Source organism: Homo sapiens, chromosome 7, assembly GCF_000001405.40.
Source record: "Homo sapiens chromosome 7, GRCh38.p14 Primary Assembly".
Taxonomy (NCBI): domain Eukaryota; kingdom Metazoa; phylum Chordata; class Mammalia; order Primates; family Hominidae; genus Homo; species Homo sapiens.
This window is the reverse complement of record NC_000007.14, coordinates 29,210,373-29,237,103: the sequence shown is the minus strand read 5'-3', so window position 1 is coordinate 29,237,103 and position 26,731 is coordinate 29,210,373. Positions and strand designations below refer to the sequence as shown.

The 26,731-nt window shown below is 39.0% G+C and overlaps 1 protein-coding gene and 1 pseudogene across 9 annotated transcripts in view; both read right to left on the bottom strand.

Moving 5' to 3' along the window:
• CHN2 (chimerin 2) overlaps positions 1-26,731 on the bottom strand; it is a 367,738-nt gene that overhangs the window by 277,225 nt on the left and 63,782 nt on the right. The window lies entirely within an intron of this gene.
• Positions 23,217-24,991, bottom strand: NANOGP4 (Nanog homeobox pseudogene 4; annotated as a pseudogene).

The window sequence follows — 26,731 nt, the reverse complement described above, 5'->3', positions numbered from 1 at the left end:
TTAGCAAAGAAAGCACTTCAGCTGTTTCGGTACTGTCATCCTTGGCACCTTGGGGTAGGCAGAATAATGGCACTAAAGATGTCCATGTCCTCTTCCCTGGAACCTCTGAATACCTTACATTACACAGCAAAGGGGACTCTGCAGCTATGATGAAGGATTTTGAGTTGGATGATTATCTTGAATTACCAGGGTGAGCCTAATGTAATCACAAGAGGCTTTATAAAAGGGAGGCAGGAGTCAAGAGAAGTGATGACAGAAGCAGAGGTGAGGGTGATGTGGGGCCATGAGCCAAGGAATATGGTCAGCCTTTAGAAGCTGGAAAAGGCAAGGAAATTGATTCTCCCTTAGAGCCCCTAGAAGGAACCCATTTGCCAACCCATTTGAGAACTCTGACCTTACATAAGTGCAAGCTGGTAACTTTGTATTATGTTAGCTATTAGATTTGAGATAATTTGTTATAGCAGCAACAAGAAACAATACATGTCTCTGATCTCACTCCCACGTTCAGTCCTTCAGCAAATCTAGTTGGAGAATGTCCTAGGTCTTCTAGGGTCCAGGCTAAGGGAGAAGATATTGCAGTTGTGTGTGAAATCACAACTCATGTAGTGGCAGCTCTTCACTGACTGCACAGGAGCAACCTTGCAAATGGCCACGGCAAGTTCCATGCAGAGGGCTGCAAGAAATGCCAGACACACTAGGACAACCAATGTATTTACTGAGTCACAAAGATGGGCTTCAAACCAGGCCTGGGATGATCTCACTGTCAATTACTCTATAGGGGAACTTGTAAGAATAGTCAGGATCCACTATTGGAGAAATCCAAGAGACAAGTGAGGGTATTACTCACTGGCCTCAGTATACACTTATCATGCCTTTTATCTTCTCACAGAAATTCTACTCTTCCCCTCAGGCTCTCCTTGTACTTCTAAACTCCTTTCTCCTCCAGGGAAGCTTATTTCAAGACAAGATCTGATAAACCTATTTGCTAGAAAGTAAACAATGGCTGCAACATTTAAACCATACCTCCAGAGGGTATCTGCTTTTTATTTTTTCCTGTCCGACTTTTATTTTAGGTTCAGGGGATACATGCACAGGTTTGTTCCGCGGACAAACTGTGTGTCATGGGGGTTTGGTGTACAGATTATTTTGTCACCCATGTAATGAGCATAGTACCCAATAGGTAGTTTTTGAATCCTCATCCTCCTCCCACCCTCCACCTTCAAGCCGGCCCAGTGCCTGTTGTTCCCTTCTTTGTGTCTGTGTATGCAGTGTTTAGCTCCCACTTATAAGTGAGAACATGCGGTATTTGGTTGTCAGTTCCTGTATGAATTTACTTAAGATAATGGCCTCCGGCTCCATCCATGTTGCTGCAAAGGACATGATTTCATTCTTTTTTATGGCTACATAGTATTCCATGGTGCACATGTACTACATTTTCTTTATCCAGTTTGCTGTTGATAGACATCTACATTGATTCCATGTCTTTGCTATTGTGAATAGTGCTGTGATGAATATGTGCTTGCATGTGTCTTTATGGTAGAATGATTTATATTTTGGGGGGTATATATCCAGTAATAGGGTTGCTTGGTTAAATGGTAGTTCTGTTTTATTAGTAAGTTCTTTGAGAAATCTTCAAAGTGCTTTCCACAGTAGTTGAACTCATTTACACTCCCATCAGCAGTGTATGTGTTCCCTTTTCTTCATACCTCACAAGCATCTCGTTTTTTTGACTTTTTAATAACAGCCATTCTGACTGGTGTGAGATGGTATCTCATTGTGGTTTTGATTTATATTTCTCTAATGGTTTGTGATGTTGAGCATTTCTTCATATGCTTGTTGGCTGTGTGTATGTCTTCTTTTGAGAAGTGTCTGCTCATGTCCTTTGCCCATTTTCTTAAATGGGGTTGTTTGTTTTTTTTGCTTGTTTGTTTAAGTTCCATAGATTCTGGATATTAGACCTTTGTCGGATGCATGGGTATTTGCTTTTTAACAAAGATCAGAATAAGACTATAAGTGCCTTGAGGACTAAAACTACATCCAGTTTCTCTATCATTGGCATCTCTCATCCCTAATACCATGCCTGGAACTAAGTTGGCCTTAGATCAATACTTACTAAATGAATTAATAGAACTGTACCAGTAGACAGCATACCCCCTCCTATGCTATCTCCTCTAAATGTTGACACTTCCTGATACAGAGATAAAAACCTGTTTTCGTGACAGCTCTAAAACAAATGAGACCTTGGGAAAAGGCTTATTAAAAATAACCATCATGCTAATGTTACTTTAGCTTTCAAATCACTTTTTAGAACACCAACTTAATTATTCTAATGATGCAAAATCTTTCTTAAAAGTGGTGAGTACAGAAGGCTCATGTGACGGGACATGACATTGCCACAGTAGATGAGAAATGGAAAAGAAAATTTTAAAGTTTCAGTTTGACTGAACAACAAGGGGTACAGATCTCTAAATTACCATGTAGCTTTGATGAGCATTCACAAAGCCTTCATTTACTTAGAACTTCAAAGCATAAGATCGCTCTGTCCAGAAAGTTCCTATGCTCACCATTAAAACCTCACCACTGACTGAGCCTTTAAAAATCCCATGCAAACTTAAGAGTTATAACCTGGGGCCAATGGAGGGCTTCAGTGAGGTTTATGGGCCCCATTAAATTTTATGATTTTGTGCACTGAATTATTTTAAAAGAATGAGTCTGATCGAGGAAGGTTTAGAATCTGCTGCTTTAAGAAATGGTACCAGACATTACGTCATTACCATAATGAAAATCTGCCCTTTTTTAGTGTCATGATCTCAAACAACTAATATTTTCATTCACTCGGTCACTATATCAGTTTCTTATTGCTGCAGCAACAAATTACCATATACTTGGTGGCTTAAAATAACACAAACTTATTATACAACAGTTCTGGAGGTCTGAAGTCTGAAATCGTTCAAGGTAAAATCAAGGTGTTGGCCGGGCGCGGTGGCTCACGCCTGTAATCCCAGCACTTTGGGAGGCCGAGGCGGGCGGATCACGAGGTCAGGAGATCGAGACCATCCCGGCTAAAACGGTGAAACCCCGTCTCTACTAAAAATACAAAAAATTAGCCGGGCGTGGTGGCGGGCGCCTGTAGTCCCAGCTACTTGGGAGGCTGAGGCAGGAGAATGGCGTGAACCCGGGAGGCGGAGCTTGCAGTGAGCCGAGATCCCGCCACTGCACTCCAGCCTGGGCGACAGAGCGAGACTCCATCTCAAAAAAAAAAAAAAAAAAAAAAAAAATCAAGGTGTTGGCAGGGCTGCATTCTAGGGAAAAGAGAATCCATTTTCCATTTCTTGGCCTTTTCCAGCTTCTACAGGCTGCCAGCAGTCCTGGGCTGGTGGTCTCCTTGCATCTTCAGGGCCAGCAATGGCCCGTTGAGTCTTTCTCACTTTGCATTTTTCTGAAACTGACCCTTCTGTCTCCCTCTTTCACATTTAAAGGACCCTTGTGAATACATCAGACCCACAGGAAGATCCAGGATAATCTCCTTAATCTCAAAACCAGCTGAGAGAAACCTTAAGCCCATCTCCAACCTTAATTCCCACTAGCCACACAACCTAACATGTTTACAGGTTCCAAGTGGAAGTCGACATCTTGGGTGGGAGTGCATTTTTCTACCTACCACTGTTACTTCACACCTGTTTTGAGCACCCACTTCTAGTATGAGGTTTTGTAAGAGATTTTGAGGATAAACTTTCTGATGTGGTCCTCACCAGGTGACAACAATAAAAGATGAAGACAATAGCTGCCGCTGTGGAGCATTTGCTGTGTGCCACTCCATTCTAGGCATATTACATGACTTAACTAATTTAATCATAAAACAGCCTAGGAGTTAGGTGATATGATTATCACTATTATAGAGAAAAGGAAATGAGGCACAAAGAACCTGTGTTTCCTGCCCAGGTCATATAACTAGTTTGGTGGCAAGGTGCAGTTTAAACACAGGCACTCAGACACTGGTACCTGAGCTCTGAACCTGTACTAGTTTGTTCTCTAGTATGACATTGAGAAAACTCAAAGCAAGAGGGGGCTTTAATTAAGTAAACAAAAGTAATATAAATCGTTGAAATAATGTAAATTTTCAAGCTAAATAAGGACAATGGAAATTAAGTCATAACAAGGATGTTAAAAAGGTTGGACCATAATATGTACACATGAGGACAATTCAATAAAAATAATCAATGGATAGTCACTGTCACCACTGTCCGTTTAAAATAATGTCTGTCACAAAAATAACTGAAGTTTTCACAGGGAGTATAAATAACAGTTAGAAAGAAGCCTGCAAAATTTAATGGTACCCTGCATTCAATGAGCATTCAACAACTCTAAAATATGTGAGTGCACACCGATGGGATACATGATCAGCTCAGATGGAAAGGAATGACCTCAACCAAGCCCCAACACTGTGAAAAAGACGCACCGCTATTCTTGGATGGAAATAAATATATCAGATCACTCATCGTGTTTTCAAGTTTGAAGCTACCAGAATGAAATTAAATCTGCAAAATTCAAAGATGACTGCTTCTTAGACAAGGAAATAGTATCTGTTGAATATAACTCTACAGGAAAGAGAAAAAGGAGAGCTAGAGAATATTGTTTCTCAAAGGAAGAAAGCAGCTGTGACTCCAGGAGAGTAATTTACTGAGGCTTCCTGGCTGTAGACGTAAAAGGATGAGAAGAAATCTGACAAGATGAAAATAAGAGCTGGCCACTAAACTAGAGAAAAGGTTAGGAAAGTACAATGCATTTTTTTAAAATAGCTTTGAAAGGAAGACTGAAAGAAAGAGTAAGAAAAGAGAAATTATTATTTTAAAGTGTCATTTCACTCTAATTCTGACTATAAAAAAAAATGACAGCAGGGTCCTGAATCTATTGTCTCCTAATGAAGTCCTCATAAAACGTCCTAGGTTTACAAGTCTGTTTACAAATCCAAAGAGGAATTTCCTCTCTGGCCTTTCTCAACCATAGCCCAGGGTCTCAGTAGTCAAAGCGTGCCCTTTCTGCTCCTAACACAATCACCAGGAATTCTATGATTCAGAAACAAAGACACTGGAGGGAAAAGTTGTTGCTGTTTGTGTAAGGAAAAGCGGTTTACCCTTCAAGTGATTGACCAGTTCTGTAATATTATTAGAAATAAAAATAAATACTTAAACTGCAACAATCTGCAGACACTCAATTAGTAAGATGATCTGTTCAGATAGGAACCATGATCACATGTGATGATAAGGATGAACAACAAGCAACATACAACCAAAAAAGGAAACACCCTGTTTAACTAAAAATGCGGAATGTTCAAGAAGCAGCTTGTATTTCCCTTATACACTGTAACCAATAATTTAAAGTGCTAATGATAGTATCAGAGCTATAATTTGGTCCCAAAAGAAACATCTAAAAGGCTAAAATAAATAAGTTGGAAAACATCCACCCCCAAAAGTGCAGTACTAACTTTTTTTTCATATTTCCACAGCAGTGCCCCTATGCAATCTTTGGGCTTTGCTGAGGACAATATGTTACCATTAAGGAGATATCTCTTTGTTGCTGTTGCTTAATAGCTCAGAGCATCAGATGAGGGGAAATAAATGGCACAGCACACAAGGTGGGGATGGGCTGCCTATGCGTAATGCGGTAAAGACAGATACGTAGATAAGACTGTCCTTTTATACAAAAATGATGCCATTGAACATCCTCCTCCTCCGAAACACACACCTTTTCTCCTACCGGGGATGAATTTTTGCTCATTTCACCGCACTCTCCCAGTTCTTCTGCTAACACATAACCTGTTTGCTGTGGCTGCAGAGTACCGTGGCAGTATTTAAACAGTGGACCAAGTACCAAGGTCACACTGGCTCCTTGTGCAACTTTGAGCCGAAAGTAAGCCAGCAGATACACAGTGATGTACAGAATATTTTTCCCCAAAGCAAGCACAGTACTGGGTCAGACACATGCCATATAGCTTATTGGAACTGTTTCGTGTCCTCCCGCCAGGCTCATCACAATGCAGTCTGGTATGCTGGAAAAAAGGTTTATGAATTCCTGGCTGTGTGATCACAGACCAGACAAGAAACCTTGCTGTACCACATCTGCAAAACGGGCCTAATACAAATGCTTGCTGGCACCATAAGGTATTTTAAGATGCAAACTGATTATACACCTGGATGCACTTTATAATAGGTAAATATTAGAGTACAATGTGTAGACCTGAGTAAATAAAGAATTGTCACTACAGGAAATGAAAAAGGTTTTGTAGATAAGACACAAAAAAAATTTCAAGATTTGGGAATGTTAAACAGGGATGGATATTTGGTGGAGAAAAAAAGAAAAATCAGATCATTTGATCATCTTTAAATATGTAAAAATCTTTCATTGAGCAGCTGAAATAAAAACAATTGAATTAAAGATTTGTTTTTATTTTTAAGAAAGAGGAGGCCTGGCATGGTGGCTCACGCCTGTAATCCCAGCACTTTGAGAGGCTGAAGCAGGCAGATCACTTAAGGACAAGAGTTCGAGACCAGCCTGGCCAACATGGTGAAACTCCGTCTCTACTAAAAGTACAAAATTTAGCCAGGCGTGGTGGCACATGCCTGTAGTCCCAGCTACTCGGGAGGCTGAGGCATGAGAATCACTTGAGCCCGGGAGGCACAGGCTGCAGTGAGCTGAGATCACGCCACTGCACTCCAGCCTAGAAGACAGAGCGAGACTCTGTCTCAAAAAAAAGAAAGAGGAATTGGGTTTACACTATTTTATAAAAGATTTAGGTAAGTTATTTTTACAACGAATTTTTGTTTAGTAAGACAATACCATGTGCGTCCCTAGAAATCTTAACTAGGCAAACACTTTTCTGAGGCAACAAAATACAAGCATTCCAGAAAACAGCCAAATGATCTTAGATAGCCTTCTAAAGCAAATTTGGCAATTTTTTCTCTAAAGGGCCAGACAGTGAATACTTTACACTTTCCAGGCCACACAGTCACTATCACAAGTATTCATCTCTGCTAGGGTAGTGGGAAAGCAGCCATCGACAATACCTAAACAAATGGGCATGGCTGGATTCCAATAAAACTTATTTATTTATTTATTTATTTATTTTTGAGACAGGGTCTCCCTCTGTCTCCCAGGCTGGAGTGCAGTGGTGTGATCTCAGCTCACTGCAGCCTTGACCTCCTGGACTTGAGCAATCCACCTACCTCAGCTTCCCAAGTAGCTGATACTACAGGCACATGCCACCATGCCCACCTAATTTTTGTACTTTTGTAGAGATGGGGTCTCCCCATGTTGCCCAGGCTGGTCTTGAACCTCTGGGCTCAAACAATCTTCCCGCCCTCTAGAAGAGTTAATATTACAGGCATGAGCCACCACGCCCAGCCCCAGTGAAACTTTATTTACAACAAAAGGTGTCAGGCTGGATTTGGCTGGTAGGCCTTCGTTTTCCAATTCTTCATCTAAAGGTTCTTTCCAGTCCTAGGATTCTAATCTGCAAAACACAGCTGTAGCAAATGGTGATAAACCAAACGAAAATGAAAAATACCAGTATACTACTGAATCTGAACGGTATGTCACTGGAGCCAGTGCCATTCTTTCTATCTAGATCTTGGGAATATAATTAGTAAATCTTCGTAATCAGCTCATTAGGATAATACATCATCAGTGATTTTTTTTTCCTTTTTAGCAAAACATAAAAATGTTTACATATGTTTATAGCTGTGATATCCAGACTTTGTAATCCAAGTGTATAATATTACAATCTGGTGCACTAGGAAGCATATGCCATCTGCTCAGCTTCTTCATCCTGCCTGCCAATGGGAAGTATTTTTAGATAAGGTAAAGACATGTGTGGGTAGACACTACCTTTGTCCTTTTTCTAGCTGCTACTCTTTTGTCACTCTTTTATCTCATCCTTGTTCCTCACCCCACCCCACTCTTGCAAAGCACATTGAAACAACACCCTTCTTGCAAGAAGGAGGTCAACAGCGGGGAGGAGCTGGTCAGTCCAGGTGAGGGGGCCACAGCTGGGCAAACCACTCCAGAGAGCTTTCAGGGTGAAAGCTGGCAATCGAGTCCATCCCTGAATCCATGGACCAGAAAGGAGAGCATGTCACTCTGCTCAGAAATCAGGCCCGACTGGAGCAGAGCGGGAGCAAAAGGAAGAATGGGCGTGAAAGCAGAGCTCAGGAAGGAGGGCGGTGCAGCGCCAGAGGCCCATTTTTTTGGCACCCTGCCCCAGGGCATGTGGGTGGATTGGCCTACTTGAAACCTTGGGGTCAAAGGAGACAAACAGCCCCCCTTACTACTGTGCCTGCAGCCAAAGCACCTTGGACTTTGATCACATCAAATTCTCTGCCCTTGATGTATTTATTTCCCAATATTGCCCAATGAGGTTTTGTGTTTTGTTTATTTGTTTTGTCTAACGAGTGAAAGGAATCACATATTGCTGGTCTAGTCATTTTAAAGATGTAATACACACACATATATGTTTATGATGCGTATTCATGTTACACATTCACATAGAAATATGTGTATATGTATACAGTCATTTGTGGCTTAACTCACAGGGTATGTTCTGAAAAATTCATTGTGAGGGGAGTTCATGTTGTGCGAACATCATAGCGTGTGCTTACACAAACCTAGACAGCGTATGCTGGAGCCTATTGCTCCTAGGCTACAAACCTGTACAGCATGGTACTATACTGAATACTGTAGGCAATTACAGCACAATGGAAAGTATTTGTGTATCTAAACGTGGGAAAGGTATACTAAAAATACTGCATTATAATCTTACGGAACCACTGTGGTATATGCAGTCTGTCGATGACGGAAACATCATGGTGTGGCACATGACTCTCTCTCTGTCTCTCTCTCTCTCCACAAACACACAAACACACACACACACGTGTGTGTGTGTGTGTGTATATATATATATATTAGTGTGTGTACAGGTTTTTTTTTAAGGTAGCTTCTATGTTAATTAGAAGCAATGACTTGTAGATATCTGGATTTTAAGGTAACTTGATATCATGTTTAGAACTCAGAAAATATATAGGGCTGAGAATTTGTCATACAATCTGAAGCCTTTAACTTAACAATAAGCTTGTTGGATGCCAGCATCCATGAATGAAGGAAGATTTTTCAATCTTGATTTATTAATGGGAAACCCAGGCTAAAACAATGAAAGAGTGAAATTCTTTTGAACTTGGACTACAGATACTTGGTGTGTATCACTTGGGTTGTTTCTATTCCAAGTGACAGATGACAGAAGCACCAATTCCAATTGGCTTAAGCTAAAGAGGGGAGGGAAAAGTGCTGAGGAAGTCAAAAGGTCAGGAATAGAACTTCAACCACTACTGGATTCAGGTTCCAAAAAGGAAAATCAGAATTCAGTTCTCCATCTCTCAGCTCTGCCTCCACAGGTGTGTGGTCTATCTCGGGTCCCAGGCAGGTGACAGCAAAATGACTACAGTTCAAATCCAGCAAGCAAAAGCTAGAGCAATGGCCAATAATTCCAATGAGGTCATCTTCCCTTTCTGGCCCAATCCCTGAGGTTCTGGGCGAAGCTGGTCATGAGCCACCTCAGGAAGCTGCAGACCTATATGGACTTACGATAAAGTGGGCACCATAAGAAAATTAGGGGCTTTTACCATGAGAAGGAGTAGTTCTAGACAGCAGACAAACCTTTAACAGGAACTCAGTACGTCCATCCCTCTAGAACAAGGAACAATTTAATGATGTACAGGATGCTGCTGCCAGAAAGGAGATCACTGAGTTGGGAAAGTGACTCTAAGTCAGAAAAATATGAAAATGGAATCTGGATAGTTTAATGTAGGCTGCAGTGCCCAGCAAGGCATGGAGACATCTTCTCAATAAGCTGCCTGCTGCCAGCGGGGTGCACCACTATTACAGTGGGAGCTATTGGGAAAACAAGATCCACAAACTCTGCTGAAACACATGGTCTGCAGTAATGCTACACTAGACACTGAAGTAGAATAGGCCTAGAATAGTCTAACAAAATGACAGCATCATGTCCCATATTGCCATAGGTCTAATGTCTTGAGGTCAGGGACCATTTATGACACCCTCATGTGCACAGCAGTGACAGGAACTGTGTGTGTGTATTCATTACAACTCCATTCTGAAAACACGAATGCCTCCTACCTATGTTACAGTGTTGGCAGCCTTTTTCATTCTCCATTTTGTAGATAGGACACTTAAGGACTAGGTGAAGGACACTCATTTCAGGGGAAAACAAAGACAAAAATAAGTTATCAAAAAACCTTACAATAAAATTATCTTCGTTATGTTAATTATTTGGGGCATACATGGAAGACATTAAGAGCAAAATTAGGATCACCAGGATAATTCCAGAGGAAATTCGAAAAGTCATAGCATAGGCAAATTGATATAAATTTGACTCTGATTGTATAAATGGATTTTGATTTTGATTTTTTTATATTGAGTGAGTGTTCCACTCCCTACGTTGCTATATATGTAACAGCATATGACATTTTAGCCATGCTCTTAAAATACACAGACTCAAACTGATGCTGGTGGTTACTGTGCACTGAAAATAAATAGGATAAAGCTCTGTGACGTTTCCAAGATGGAACTAAGACAGTAACTGTCTTCATGGCAGGAAATATTGTTTATTTTTCTATTTAAAAAAAATTAGATGTGCTGTTTTTCAGCTGACTATAAAAAATCAGTGACTCTTGTTTGTGTTTCATGCTGCTGTACTCTGTGGGCTTGGCTATCCCCAGTATTACCTAGTTTACATAATGGAAGTTTTCAAAAAGCCTAAATACTTAAGGACTTTTGTTCATTTTTCCCCGCTCATAATAATAGATTTCTGAAAGATCATTTTAAAATGTTAAATTTCCCTTCATTTTTCAAAGTATTTGTAACACTACAGGCAATCAATTGAGAAAAGACAGCTCATTGTTCTGTGTTTTTTCCCCACAGAGAATTTATGTCTCAAAAGATATTTTTTAAGAAGAAAGGTTATTTAATACGTCTCCCTTGCCAGCCCAGAAATTGTTATAAATTCAAAATTCATTCTTGTACAATGTTCTTAATTATAAGATAAGTAATCTTTCTGTGTTAGTTTAATTCTATCCTATTTATGTTCTCAAGTAGAATGACACATTGCAAATACCATTTGGGGAGTTTTATTAATAAACGCCTAATCCCATGCCTTGTAGGACATGTCTCAGAATAATGTTTTAACTACAGTAATGCTCAGTGACTAACACCCTTTCAATAGTAACTGTCCCCTCAACGTGAGGCAAGGCATCTTTTCCAGTGTGATTAGTGGTGATTCCTCAAAAAAGGGTCTCAAAGTGCTCACAGCAGGTGATTAGCTCCAGTCTCCTTGCACCTTCATAAGGTAGCAAGGATTATCAGCTTTGCTCTACTTCTGGATTAGGTTTTCCATATCCTGTAAAACCAGGATAGGAAACGAAGAGCGATGCTAAACTACAGCACTAATGTCCTATACAATCAAACTCAGTTTTGCAAAACAAATATTTGGAGATAATGCTCTAAACATGCATATACACATCTCTGTTGAAATGGATAGTCAGAAGGCACTCAGGCACACACATTTGCACACAGTTTTTCATATATTGGTTTTGGTGGGCTGATCTGGGAACTTCATCACTGTATATGATATTGTTTGCTATTGTTTCTTTTAGAGTCCGTACATATATATGAGCCCAAACAACTACTCTATAATAAAGTTTGCAGATTTGGTAGCAACAAATCTTTCCAGGCTAATTCTCTATGTCCAGGTACAACACAACAATGTTATGATTAGGCCATGCTTTCCTCCTCTTGATTTAGACAAATTATGGATTAATTTAAATTATTCGTGAAGTATTTGATGACAATCAGGAGAAAAAATTACATTCATATTCTATCTGTTTTAAATCTATAAGGAGTTTGAAAAGGGCTCCTTTTCAGATCTCTGGCTTTAGCAATTGCCTGCAACTAAAAGCAATCTTGCTGTGATTGAAAATGGAGGTGTCAACTCAGGCAGGCTACAAATTGCCAACACAGGGAACAGTCATTTTAAATTACTTCCAAAGCCCAGATAAATTCTCCTGAATGGAAATCTGCCTTTATCCTTATTTTCTCTCTCCGGAGATGATATGTGTTTTACTCATTATGAATCATTCTCTCCATTCCTTTCTACTAAGGTAAAGAACAATGAGAAAAATACAGACAGCACTATGCTGGGCTCTGTTTATGGCATAAGGCATATAACAAATAAGATTATCTTGTGATTTAACATATGAAAAAATATAACATGTTTGAATAGCACTTTAGCAACTATAAGATTATTTTAAATATAGAAATGAAAACATGGTGGAGAATTCTTTAACTTTATCCCCATATGGATTAGCTGTTATAGGCCATTTCAATTGTTCCTCACAATAATCTCTTTGGTAAACAGAGAAGATATAACATTCCATAATTTCTGCAGATATTTAAAACTGAGACAAAGATATTAAGTGACTAGGGTCACACAGTTAGTAATGGCAGAAATGGCTCCTGAACCTTTAGCTTCTGAATTTCTCTCCTGTAATCTTTCCTTAAACCAAGCAGGATTTAGAAATAAGCTCGGAGCATTCAACACACATAGAAAAAAATGTTTGTACTGTGAAGTTCCTTCTCACTATAACTTAATGTTACTTAGTTATGAATATAACTTAACTAAAATTTAACAGTATCTGACCATGGCCTAAAAGTCTATCCTTTTCAGTTATATTTACTGTGTTTACACAGAGTATCACTTAATCACAAACTGTTTCATAATTTTTCATAATTGGAACATTTCTGGAGGAAAAAGGAACTATATTAATGATTAAGAAGTAAGGGCTTCTTAATTTGGACAGCAATCCCACCTAATTGTTCGTGTTTCAGAAGTAGCCCTTAGAATGTTCCAATTTTAGAACATCAGCTGTGACAGTCCTTCCCGCCATGTTCATTTGCTGCTGCTACTCCTGCAGTGTTTTCAACAGTCTGGCCCACCTTTCCCTTGATGAAAGTCTTCCTGTTCTTGAAATAGAAAAGATTTGAATTTTACTGCCTATAGGGTTTTAGAGAGCCAAGTCAAAAGAATTTTAAGAGTTTTAAGTCAATAAGAAATGGTGCATGGGTATGGTGTCAATACATCGCAACTAAAATTTTTGTTCACTGCTGGTGGAAGGGCAAACTAGTGAAAGCACTTTAGAAACCTGCTGAGCAGTATTGTGTAAAGCTGAATATATTATATGTACCTCATGACCTAGCAATTCCATGTGTATATAACAGAAATCTGTGCATATGTGCATATATAAGAATATTCATAGCAATATTTTTTGTAATAATCCCAACTTGGAAGCAACCCAAGAGTCTATCAATCACAGAATTACTAAGTGTATACAATTAAATTTATAGAAATTGGAATCCCCTACAGCAATAAAAAAGAATGAACCACAGGTAGACATAATATATAGATAAATCTCAACATATGGATGTTGAGTAAAATAACCCAAATATGAAAGTGTACATAAGTAAATCTTATATGATTCCATGCATATAAAATTCAAAAACAGGCAAAATTAATTTACAGCTATGAAGTCAGCATAGTGATTGATATGGGGAGTGGTGATAATTAGTGTTTCATTGGAAGACCTGAGTATATTAGCTACATCTACCTGGATGGTATGAGAAGGCTGTGGACACAAGGCAAGACTAAATGAGAGGGGTTTGGGATGCCACTGCCAAAAATTGGAAGAAGACCTGATCATATAGGGTTTGAACCATAAGGACAGAGTGGACAGAGTGAATTATTTTCTCCAAGTCACCAAAAATCTGTGATAATAGCTTGACATTGTCAGTCTTTTACATGTTAGCAATTCTGGTGGGTGGGTGGTGATATATCATTGTTATTTTTATTTGCATTTCTCTCATGACTAATAGTGTTGAGCATCTTTTTATGTTTACAGTAAACTGTGATATTCTCTTCTCTGAAAGCTTTTTCAAGTATTTTGCCCAAATTTTAATTGGGTTGAGTGTACTTTTCCAACTGCTGTGTAAGATTCTTGATATATTCTGGATACAAGTACTTTGTCAGATATGCATATATCTGTAACCATTACTGCTGAACTCTATTCTATTCCTTTGCTCTATTCATGTATCCTTGAGCCAATATCATACTATCTTAATTATTGCAGCTTTATAATAAGTCAATATCTAACAACATAAGTTCTCCATGTTTTTTCTTCTTTAGTTAGTATTGCTTCAGTTATTCTTGGTGTTTTGTATTTCCACTTAAATTTTTGAACCAGCCTGATAATTTTCACAAAAATTAACTGATTTTTATTGGGATTGCATTGAATCTATTAATCAAATTAGGGGAAACTATCTTTACAATCCTCTAATCCAGGCACATGATTATATCACTCCATTTATTTAAATAATCTTCAGTTTTTCTCAATATATTTTGCAGTTTTCACGGTGAAGGTTTTGAACATCTCTCATTGGATTTACTGTTTCTTATTTCTGAGTTCTCTATTCCATTCCATTGCTCTGTGTGTCTGTGCTGTTTTGGTTACTGTAGCCTTGTAGTATAGTTTGAAGTCAGGTAGCATGATGCCTCCCACTTTGTTCTTTTTGCTTAGGATTGTCTTGGCTATTCAGGCTCTTTTTTGGGCTCCATATTAATTTTTAAATATTTTTTCTAATTCTGTGAAGAAAGTCAATGGTAGCTTAATGGGAATAGCATTGAATCTATAAATTACTTTGGGCAGTATGGTCATTTTCACGATATTGATTCTTGCTATCCATGAGCATGTAATCTTTTTCCATTTGTTTGTGTCCTCTCTGATTTCCTTGAGCAGTGGTTTGTAGTTCTCCTTGAAGAGGTCCTTCACTTCCCTTGTTAGCTGTATTCCTAGGTATTTTATTCTTTTTGTAGCAATTGTGAATGGGAGATCCTTCCTGATTTGGCTCTCTGTTTGCCTGTTATTTGTGTATAGAAATGCAAGCAATTTTTGCACATTGATTTTAAAGATCTAGAAGCAGAAATACCATTTGACCCAGCAATTCCATTACTGGGTATATGTCCAAAAGAATATAAATCATTCTATGATAAAGATACATGCATGCGTATGTTCACTGCAGCACTATTCACAACAGCAAAGACATGGAATCAACCCAAATGCCCATCAATGATAGACTGGATAAAGAAAATGTAGTATGTATACACCATGGAATACTATGCAGCCATAAAAAGGAATGAGATCATGTCCTCTGCAGGGACATGAATGGAGCTGGAAGCTGTTTTCCTCAGCAAACGAATGCAGGAACAGAAAACCAAACATCCCATGTTCTCACTTTTAAATAGGAGCTGAACAATGAGAACACATTGCCATATGTGGGGAACAACACACTGGGGTCTGTTGGGGGTCGAGGAAGGGAGAGCATCAGGAAGAACAGCTAATGAATACTGGGCTTAATACCTAGGTGGTGGGTTGATCTGTGTAGCAAACCACCATGGCACATGTTTACCTATGTAACAAACCTGCACATCCTACACATACATCCCGGAACTTAAAACAAAAGTTGAAGGAAAAAAAAAGATTTACTACTAGGTACTTGATTTTTTAACGTTACTATAAATTATGGTTTAAAATTTCATTTTTGAATTATTTATTGCTAGTATAAAGAGACTTGATTTTTTTTACACTGACCTTGCATCCAGCATTCTTGTTAAAGTCACATTATTTTCAATAATTTTATATTTTCTATGTATATAATTACATCATTTGTGGAAAACAGTTTACTTCGTTCTTCTCAACCTTCATGACAATTTTTTCTTGGCTTATTGCATTGGCTAGAATTGCCAATTGGTGATCTTTTCTTGTTCCCAAACTCGGAGAAATCATTTATTACTTTATCATTAAGTATGCAGTTATATAACATCAAAGAAATTCCCTTCTATTAGTTTGTTGAGAATTTTTATTATAACCAAGTGCGGAATCAAATTAGTCTTCTCTACTGAAATAATTACATAATTTTCCTCTTTGATTCTTTTAACGAGGCTTTGATTGGTTTTTAAATGTTAAATCAACCATGGATTCCTGGAATAAATCCCATCTGATCATGACATATTCTTTTACATATCCCTGAACTTGATTTGCTAATCAAATATTTTAAGATTCATGAAAGATACTGGGTGGTGGTTTTCTTTACTAGTAAGTTCTTGTCAGACTTAGGTTAGGCTGATTTCACACATGATTTAAGAAATGTTTTATCTTTTTCTATTTTCTATAAGAGTTTGTGTAACACTGGCATTATTTCTTCCATAAACATTTGGAAGAATTTATTGCTAAAGCAATATTGGTCTGAAATTAAATTTAGGGGAAGGCATTTAATTGTCGCTTCAATTTAAATAATAAATTTAGGATTTTTCAGATTTTAAATTTCTTCTTATGTCTGTTTTGGTAAGTTGTGTTTTTAAAGAAAGTTGTTGATTTTCTCTAAGTTGTCAAATTTATTGACATAAAATTGATCATAGTATCTTATCTTTTTGATCTCTATGACATATAGTGGTGATCCCCTTGTTTTTTTCTGAAATTCATTGTATTTTCTCTTCTTTTTTCCTTGATTGGTTTGCTAGAGATGTATCAATTATATTAATCTTGTCAAAAAAAGCCCCAGTTGTTTTTGTTAATTTTCAAATATTATATATCGTTTCCTACTTCTATAATTACTGCTTATTTTGGCTTTCTCTCTCTCTCTCTCTCTCTTTTTTTTTTTTAAGACAGGGTCTCCCTCTGTGGCCCAGGCTGGAGTACAGTGGCATGATCTTGGCTCACTGCAACCTCTGCCTCCCCGGTTCAAGCAATTACCATCTTTGGGTTTAATTTGCTGATTATTTTCTAGATTCTGGAGTTGGAGGTTTGAATCATTTATTTTCAACTTTTCCTTTTTTTTTAAATTTTTTTATTTTTTTGAGACAGAGTCTTGCTCTGTCACCCAGGCTGAGGTGCAATGGCGCAATCTCAGCTCACTGCAACCTCCGCCTCCTGGGTTCAAGTGATTCTCCTGCCTCAGCCTCCCGAGTAGCTGGGACTATAGGCGTGTGCCACCACGCCCAGCTAATTTTTTGTATTTTTAGTAGAGACAGGGTTTCACTGTGTTAGCCAGGATGGTCTCCATCTCCTGACGTGGTGATCCGCCCACCTCGCCTCCTAAAGTGCTGGGATTACAGGCATGAGCCACGGCGCCCAGCCAACTTCCTTTTATCATTAACAAATATCCCTCTTTATCTCTCATGATAATTTTTGCATTAAAGTCTACTTTGCCTGATATTAATATGGTTATAGCTTTTAGTTAATTTATGCATGGTATATATATTTCTAACATTTTACTTTCAATCTTTCTCAGTCTACATAGTATATCTTAAATTTTAAACTTAGTAAAGTATCTTAAAACCTACTAGATTTAAACTTACTACAATTGGTTATCTGTATCCAGTCTGGCAATCTTTTAATAGGAATGTTGAAACCACTTATATTTGATACATTTACTGATATAGTTTCTTATAAGCCTACCATCTTAATTTGTTTTCCATTTATCACACCTATTCTTTGTTCCTGTATTTCTTCTTTTCACTTTCTTTTTAGTCATTCAAGTGTTTTTAAAAATATTTTTTCTCCCTTATTAGCATTTTAATTGAGCTTCTTATATTATTATTTTAATGATTACCCTAAAGATTGTAAAATACACCTTTGACTTATTTCAGTCCTCTTTAAATTAGTAATTTTAACCTTTCCTAAAAACGTTTCTAAGCAGCTTCCTACACAGTGGTGGGAAACGGTGAGTGTTTCTTTCATTACCTTGACTACACATGAGTATAATTTGGCCTTGGCTCTAGGAGAGTCGACTTTTTCAGGTCTGAATGTGGCCTGGGCCACTGCGGTTTCAAAACCCATTCCTCGTGATTCAGGATTTATAATACGCACTGCATCAGTCTCCGACAGAGCCTGCCCACATTTAAAACAGCCTAAACTTCTTGTCTGTATTAGAACCTAACTTTTTTTTTCCTTCTATTTTTTTTTAAATTATATTATTATTATACTTTAAGTTCTAGGGTACATGTGCACAACATGCAGGTTTGTTACATATGTATACATGTGCCATGCTGGTGTGCTGCACCCATTAACTCGTCATTTAGCATTAGGTATATCTCCTAATGCTATCCCTCTCCTCTCCCCCCACCCCACAACAGTCCCTGGTGTGTGATGTTCCCCTTCCTGTGTCCATGTGTTCTCATTGTTCAATTCCCACCTATGAGTGAGAACATGCGGTGTTTGGTTTTTTGTCCTTGTGATAGTTTGCTGAGAATGATGGTTTCCAGTTTCATCCATGTCCCTACAAAGGACATGAGCTCATCATTTTTTATGGCTGCATAGTATTCCATGGTGTATATATGCCACATTTTCTTAATCCAGTCTATCGTTGTTGGACATTTACGTTGGTTCCAAGTCTTTGCTATTGTGAATAGTGCCGCTATAAACATACGTGTGCATGTGTCTTTATAGCAGCATGATTTATAATCTTTTGGGTATATACCCAGTAATGGGATGGCTGGGTCAAATGGTATTTCCAGTTCTAGATCCCTGAGGAATCGCCACACTGACTTCCACAATGATTGAACTAGTTTACAGTCCAAACGCTTATCTTACTAGGATATAACCTTTTAACACAGATATTGTATGATTCCACCACTCCACATGCCTACCTTCACGAGGCATGACTTTGGCTGTCTGGTATTTATGGTTACAGGTAAGAAGGAAAGAGAGTCATGCTGGCGAGTGAGGGGGTGGAAGGGGGTGGGAGATGGGTGGGAGGGGACATCACAATCCCTAATGAGACTAACATCACCCAGGGCCCTTTAGAGCTTTGTAATTAGTTCCAATTCATTGTTTCCTTTTAAGTGTCTTTTTTTTCTTAAATGTAAGATGAAAAGGGTTAAAACTACAGGCTAAAACTAGTTTTATTAATATCTGAACTCTACCAGTCAATTTCATGTTTTAAGCAAAAGTGAATGTCTTCTGATTGCAATGCTAGCTCATCAGGATGATAAGCCATCTAGGGAATCCTGGTTAAACTGCTCTACTCTCAGTTCCTTCAAATCCAGGAAGAGACATACATGTCTTTGCGCATAAGCATTAGTTCACATTCAGATTAAACTATTGCCTTCCAACCTGCTGCCCAAGGGATGATGCTGAGATGGCAAATTATCAGATACGTATCTTTTATTCAGATATCCTTAGGAGCATGTGCACATTCTAAAGGAAATCACTTTTATTTGCTCCGAGCTATTAAAGGAAGAACTAGAATGAAAAACAGTAAATCCAAAGGACTTCAGGGCCTTAAAGACATTCTATAACCTATATCCCAACTAAATATTTGTATTCATATAAAAAGCGCTGTTAGGATTCTTTCATCATGAAGATTAATTTTCTATTTTAATTAGAAATATTTGATACGTCATAAACTTTCAGGGCATTTTCAGCTAACAAAAGTGCCAAGTGCTTGTATTAAATATTTCCACAATGGCCCTCCCAGTCTACACATTTTAACGCAGGTCATGATTTTACAGTCTCTTTTCCATTCAAACTGAAAGACTGATAAAGAGCCCTTGAGTAGTCTCCAGATAGGCTGCTGAAGCTAAGGAATGTCCTGCATGCATTTAGTTAGTTAAAAACATGCTGAGTCTTACATAATTACTGTGTTGAAGCAATGGCAGTGGTAGAGCAATAGGTCAGATAACTACCGTGGTTTACTCATTGCAAGGCACAGCCTGAGATAATATAAAAATAATTATATGCACAAACCAGATTTTCCAAACTGCTTATTTCATTTTCTAGGTCAGTATAGCTGGTCAAATCCCTCTGAAAGTTAAGTTTTCCAGCTGACCACAAACGGTTAGTTCGCTTACATTATTTCTGTAAAATGCTGCATATATTTAGATGTTCAAAGGACTATGATATTTATTCTGACTCTCTGGAGGTTTTTCCTCCTAATAAGTACTGTTAGTACACTGGGGAGAAAGAGCAGATCAAAAGCCGTGCTCCTGTAAAAGCTTAACACCATCTTCATTACCATGTAGTTAAAACCTCAGGTACATACAAATAAGTTCCAAACTGCTTAAGACTGAATCCATCCAACAATGCAAACATAGCATTCGCATTTCATAAGTATAGCCGGTTAATTTCCCCTTCGTTCTGATTCATCTGAGCCTCAATAATCTGCACTAAAAAATTGCCATGGTATTATTTTACCTTTATAGAAGAAAAATTGATAAATCAATTGGTCCTTGTGATTTCCAGGCTAGATCAGCGGTTTCCACTACCTTAAATTTAAAGCATCCGTTATCTGAAACCAACACAGACCTGAACCAGCTCACTGAGAGGCTGGGGAGAGAGAAGAGCTCAGCCTCAAGGAGGCAAGAAGCAGGAAGAAGGGCAGGGGCCAAAACCTTGGCGGAATGATAAGCTAAAAAGTGACAAAGAAAGAAATGTAATTTGATAACAGATCTTATTTGAACATTTCCACAAAGTGATAATAGACAGTTTTAGGAAATATGGCCAGTGGGTTTCAAAATGGGCACACTTGCCCATTAGGAAGAGACAGCACTTGATACAGTTTTTGGCAAGCTTCCAACCTTGTCAATTATCTCAATCCTAGTGCAGTCTTCAATCCTGGTGGGATTTCCACCTACCCAAGCGCCTCTACCAATTTCCCCAACCCTAATTGTCTTTTCCTTCCTCCCAGATATACTGCAGAGTCTCCATGTCTCTGGAAATTAATCACTATTTGAGAGATTAATTGGAATTTCCAGGCTATTAATTGTAATTTCCTCTTCCTCTGGCTTTTTTAATTTTGAGGAAAATCTACAAGGACTCTTTCAGCAACTAAAATGTATACTAAAAACAAAGAAGTTCCAGCCTCTCCCAACAATAGCTGCTTCTCTGCCATTTCTACTCGACAGCTTGCCAGTCATTACACCTGGAGAATTACTTAGGCGTAGTTACAAACTCCACCTGGGGATTTTAAGAAATTGGCTTACATAATAAGATTTAATATTTAAATGTTAAATGATATCATTTCCACTCTTTAAAAGAACGCGTTCATATTCAGAATCAGTCACTTAAGGAAGAAGAGTGCATAATTTAAAGCCAAAAGAAAAGATAGTAGCTAACGCTTTGTCCCATAGGTTATGGTCCTTGGAACATTTTCTTTCCCTGAGAAATTGAATCTGCCTTATTACACAGACATACACTTATGTGCAACATCCCACAATGACATACACATACACTCACATATACTCACACACTAAAGACCTAACTTCCAAGCAGAAGCAAATCCTTGCCCTGGAATGACATAGCAACAAGTACTTTTAATTCCTATTGAACCAGAAGTAAATGATTCCTGGCACAGAACATAAAATTGTAACTCAGATAGAAGAAAACACCTTAGGAAACAGACTTAGGTGAGTGTGCTGATTTTAAAAAATGCTTTCCTGGCATTAAGGAGTTACAACTACAGTTCTGGCTCCAGGCTAAATAAGACCCTTAATTGGGACCTCTGGGAGGCCTCCCAAGACTGTGACATTTACAGAAGTCGAAAGAATGAGAAGTTGGGAGTGCCTCAAGTAGCTAGGACCACATACTCTGGGAAAAATGGACAGTGAATGCAGAGGACGGCCTCAGGCTTCTTTTCTGTCTAAGGGCTGTACCTGTGCCACTGTAAGACTCCCCGTGCAGAACTTCTGCTGGCATCTATGAAACGGCACAAAAATCTCAGACTGGGTAATAATTTAAGGGAAGAGTTTGAACTAAAATATTTAATTGTTAATGACTTCACAAGTTCTGCAGAGTTTCACAGAGTCCAGATTCACTCTCAAACTTTGGACTGTGAACTCCTTTACAGTGAAGTTCATGTCTCCATTTACTCAGTCATTCATCCAAAAAAAAGTTTCCAAGAAGTTCTGGTGTGGCAGTGTCTCTGCTAGTAGCTGGTGACCCAAGGGCCCCTCCCTTCCTGGAGTGACAGTCCACTGAGAACAGACCGAATAAAGAGTTACAAATGGACTGCTACGTATCTATTTATGTCCTCAAAGCCAAGCATGGTGGCTGGCATCCACTCTGCACTCACGTTTTATGAAAGAGAGATGAGAAAGAGGAAAGAGAAACAATGAGAAAAATAAGGTTCAGGATATTGCCATCTCCCTGCCAAGTTTCATAGATAAAATATTTGGGTGATTAAGTAAGAGGCATTCAATGGTGGATTCTTACATAACATATATTCAAGTGTAAAAATATGTCCCTACCTCCGCCTGAAATTAGGACTATTAATCATCTTCAGAAATGACGAAGTTTTCAGTAACGTAGCCCCTATCAATTAGTTTCTGGCCAATAAACTGTTGGTGAAGATTAGGAAAGACACCACAAGAAGATGAGCATTACAGTATTGACTGAGGATAATAAATTCATGGAATAGAAGGAATTCTGTAAGAGTTGAGATTAACTTGAAGCCTCCTGTCAAAGCGTCAATACTGATCCACAAAGGCATCCATCCTGGTAGAAACGAGGTTTCCTAGAAAAGTCAGACTTTAATGAGGTTATAACATATGGATAAAAGGGAATGACGGGCCAGAGGACTAGGGAGAGGGTACTCCAGCTCCTGCATAGGAAAAGAGGTAAAACATTAACAAAATGTGAGGGATGCTGCTGGGTGCCAGTAACCATGCTAAGTCACTGGGGTGGTACCGTGATGACTAAGACCTAGGGCCTTACTCTAGGTGTTTACTGATAATTACTCAAGAGCCACAGAAAAAGAGGCCATATTTGAGCATAAATGGAAGTCTAAAAAGGGAAATCGGATCGAATTGACTCATTTCTGGAGATGAGAAAGTATTTATTTACCAGGGGGCTTTAGCAGCATCCAGAAACACCATCTTTGGAATCAGGAAGGAGAAAGCATGACCACGGCTTCATTTCATTAAGGTCACTTGTGTTTCCCTTCTGAGACTAATGAATAAAGACACTGCTGATCAGACTAAAAAGCGCAATTATTGCTTGTGTGAATGTATGCACAAAGATTACAGTAATGCAGTATTCTTTTTTTTAATGTTTAAGCTGTATTTTTACTCATTGAAACACTAGGTGAAATCAGGGTAAAATCAACTAAAGGAAAAATAGTTGTTTCATTCATTTGTACTTAAACCAACTAAAGGAGTACTAATGTCATCATGATGCAGTAAATACAAGACCTCCTTCTACAAAGATTAGCATCACCAAAAAATTAGGGGATATAGTAAAACAGAACCAAAAAAGGTGAGGAAATCAATGAAGTATATTACAGCTTAACCCTTTACCTCAATAGTTTTTAAAAAATAAGTAAAGCCTCCCAATCCCAAAAAATAGGAATATGCCTTCATCACACAAATTTGTACTTGTATTTCTTATTCTTGAGGTTAGATTCTAAACCCTGAAGATATTCAAACTAGTATTAGATCTACTTATCTATAGCCAGAGACAGCTTCTATCATGTTGTCCTTAGTAGCCAAGGTTATTAAAACGTCTTTTCTCCGGAAGATCCAATAGGAAAAAAAGAAAGAAACCTCTCTGATTAGGCTCCAACCATACTGTATCCTCCATCAAATTGACTGGATAGGCATAATGGAAGCCAGAACACATGGTTTCCATACAAGAAAAATCCTATCAGGGAGGGGAGGAGGGGAGAGGAAGGATTCAGCCACTACCCAGAGTGAAACTGAGTAATATCAATTTCACTCATCTTCACACATCTTCAGGTTGCGTGTTCGTGGAGTAGTTTAGGAATAAATCCATGGTTTGTGGAGTACTAAAATACCTAGTCATTTGCTTATTACATTAAGGCCTTCCCCTGCAGCTTCCAAGGCAGCCTCCAAGTCACTGGAAGGTGAATTTGGCTGGAACTGCATGCAGGACTGCAGAGATTCCTCTCCACAGTTATAGAAGGGACTGTTCCAGGCCTGATTGTTCCAGGACTGGGTGCACCAGGTCTGAGTGTTCCAGGAGTGGTTGCTCCAGCACTAGATGTTCTGGGTCTGGTTGCTCCAGGATGAATTGTTCCAGGTCTGGTTGCTCCACATTGGAAGGTTCCCAGTCAGGTCACCAGTCATCCCTGGTGGTAGGAAGAGTAGTGGCTGGGGTAGGTAGGTGCTGAGGCCTTCCGAGTCACACCATTGCTATTCTTCGGCCAGTTGTTTTTCTGCCACCTCTTAGATTTCATTCTCTGGTTCTAGAACCAGGTCTTCACCTGTTTGTAGCTGAGGTTCCAGATATTGGAGAGTTCTTGCATCTGCTGGAGGCTAAGGTATTTCTGTCTCTGAAATCTATCATTGAGTACACACAGCTGGGTGGAAGAAAACACAGTTCTGGTCTTCTGTTTCTTGACTGGGACCTCGTCTCCCTTTTTTGGGGCATTATTCTCTGCAGCAATGGGTTGTTTGCCTTTGGGACTGGTGGAAGAATCAGGGCTGTCCTGAATAAGCAGATCCATGGAGGAAGAAGAGGAGAGACAGTCTCCGTGTGAGGCATCTCAGCAGAAGACATTTGCAAGGATGGATAGTTTTCTTCAGGCCCACAAATCACAGCCATAGGTTAAGATTCTTTACAGTCGGATGCTTCGAAGCAAGGCAAGCTTTGCAGACAAGCCAGATCCACACTCATGTTAGTATTGAGGAAGAGGGGGAAAAAATTTAAGAGGTGGACTGGAAAAAAGGTTAAGGCAGCTTTAAGACTTTTCTGGAAGATGTTAGAGAAATATGACTTCCAGAAGCAAAAGTATCAAGAAGTTGGGATGAAGTGAGTTGCCTCCACAATAGCAGGAGGTAACTAGCTCAGTCCAGCCCAGCATTCTTTTTTTAAAAAAGAGTCCCTATCTTTTAGAGATACCATCTGAAATATTTACAGATGAAATGATGCCAAGCCTGGGATTTGCTTCAAAATAATCCTGGGTATGGGATGGAGTGGAAGTGAAACCAGGCTATGATGCGATCATTGTTGAAGTTGGATGGTAAGAGGTTCGTTATAGTTTTCTCTTTACTCTAAATATATTTGAAATGTTCTTTATAAAAAGTTATTAAAATATACATTTGTAATAAAAGCCCACTGTAGGGAAAGACGAAACTTTTAAATGATCATTCAATAAAATAGTGCTACGCAGTGTAGCAAGTTAAAAAAATTAACAAAATCTCCTTGAACATTATGATTAAATAGTACTATGGGCCTATAGGGTGTTCTGTATACCGCAACCATGCCTTGAGCAGGCTAACTGAATCTGCTACATCTTTGGAGTTCTGGACCAATTTCTAATCTGTTTTCCAAAGTGCCCATCACCACTCTAGAGTGGATTCTGAAATCAACTTGTGGGCCCTGATAGTTTTTAGATAAATGAAGAGAAATACAATAGAAAAGACAGTCTCAGAGCACATCATATATAACAGGATGAACTCTCTTTGTGGAACTTCTGTTTCTGTGTGTGTGTGTGTGTGTGTGTGTGTGTGTGTGTGTGTGTGTGCCAACATGCAGCATTTGTGTTTAGTCTAATCTCAACATAATAGCCAGAATGGATCTGTTAAAACCTCAGTCAGGGCCGGGCGCGGTGGCTCACGCCTGTAATCCCAGCACTTTGGGAGGCTGAGGCAGGCGGATCACGAGGTCAGGAGATCGAGACCATCCCGGCTAACATGGTGAAACCCCATCTCTACTAAAAAAAAAAAAATACAAAAAATTAGCTGGGCATGGTGGCAGGCGCCTTTAGTCCCAGCTCCTCAGGAGGCTGAGGCAGGAGAATGGCGTGAACCCGGGAGGCGGAGCTTGCAGTGAGCCGAGATCGCGCCACTGCACTCCAGCCTGGGCGATAGAGCGAGACTCCGTCTCAACAACAACAACAACAACAAAAAAAAAAACAAAACACCTAAGTCAGATCATGCCACTGTCTTCTAGAACCCTCCAGGGACAACCTATCTCAGTGTAAAAGCCAAAGTCCTTAGGGCGGCCTACGAGGCCCTCCATGATCCGCCTCCTCCTCCCTGCCAGTCCTATTTACCCCTTTCTCACTCTACTGGCCTTGTTTCTGTTCCTGGAACACACCAGGTACACTCTCGCATTGGGACTCTGCAGCTGCGGTTCCTTCTGTCTGGAATGTACTTTCTCCAAATATCTGCATGGCTGGCTCCCTCACCATCAAGTGTCACCTTCTCAGTAAAGCCTTCTCTGACCACTAAACTTAACACTCAGACCCCCTTACCCCCAGCATTTCCTGTCTCCCTTCCTGCTTTATTTTTCTCCATAGAACTTATCACCCTCTAATATACCATATAAATTAATAATTAGATATAATTATATATATAAGATACACATTTATATATACAAATTATATATAGTTCCTTTGGTTTATTGTCTGTCTGTATTTAGAAATTCCACAAGGTCCAGAATTTTTGTCTGTTTTGTTCATTGCAGTATCTCTAAAATCTGGAACATGGTAAATAATAAGTACATATGGAATGAAGTATTGGTGTGTGCACGGTGTGTGTGTGGGGTGTGTGTGTGTGCCTGTGTGTGTACGTGCTGGGTTTCATAGTGTAGGTCACATT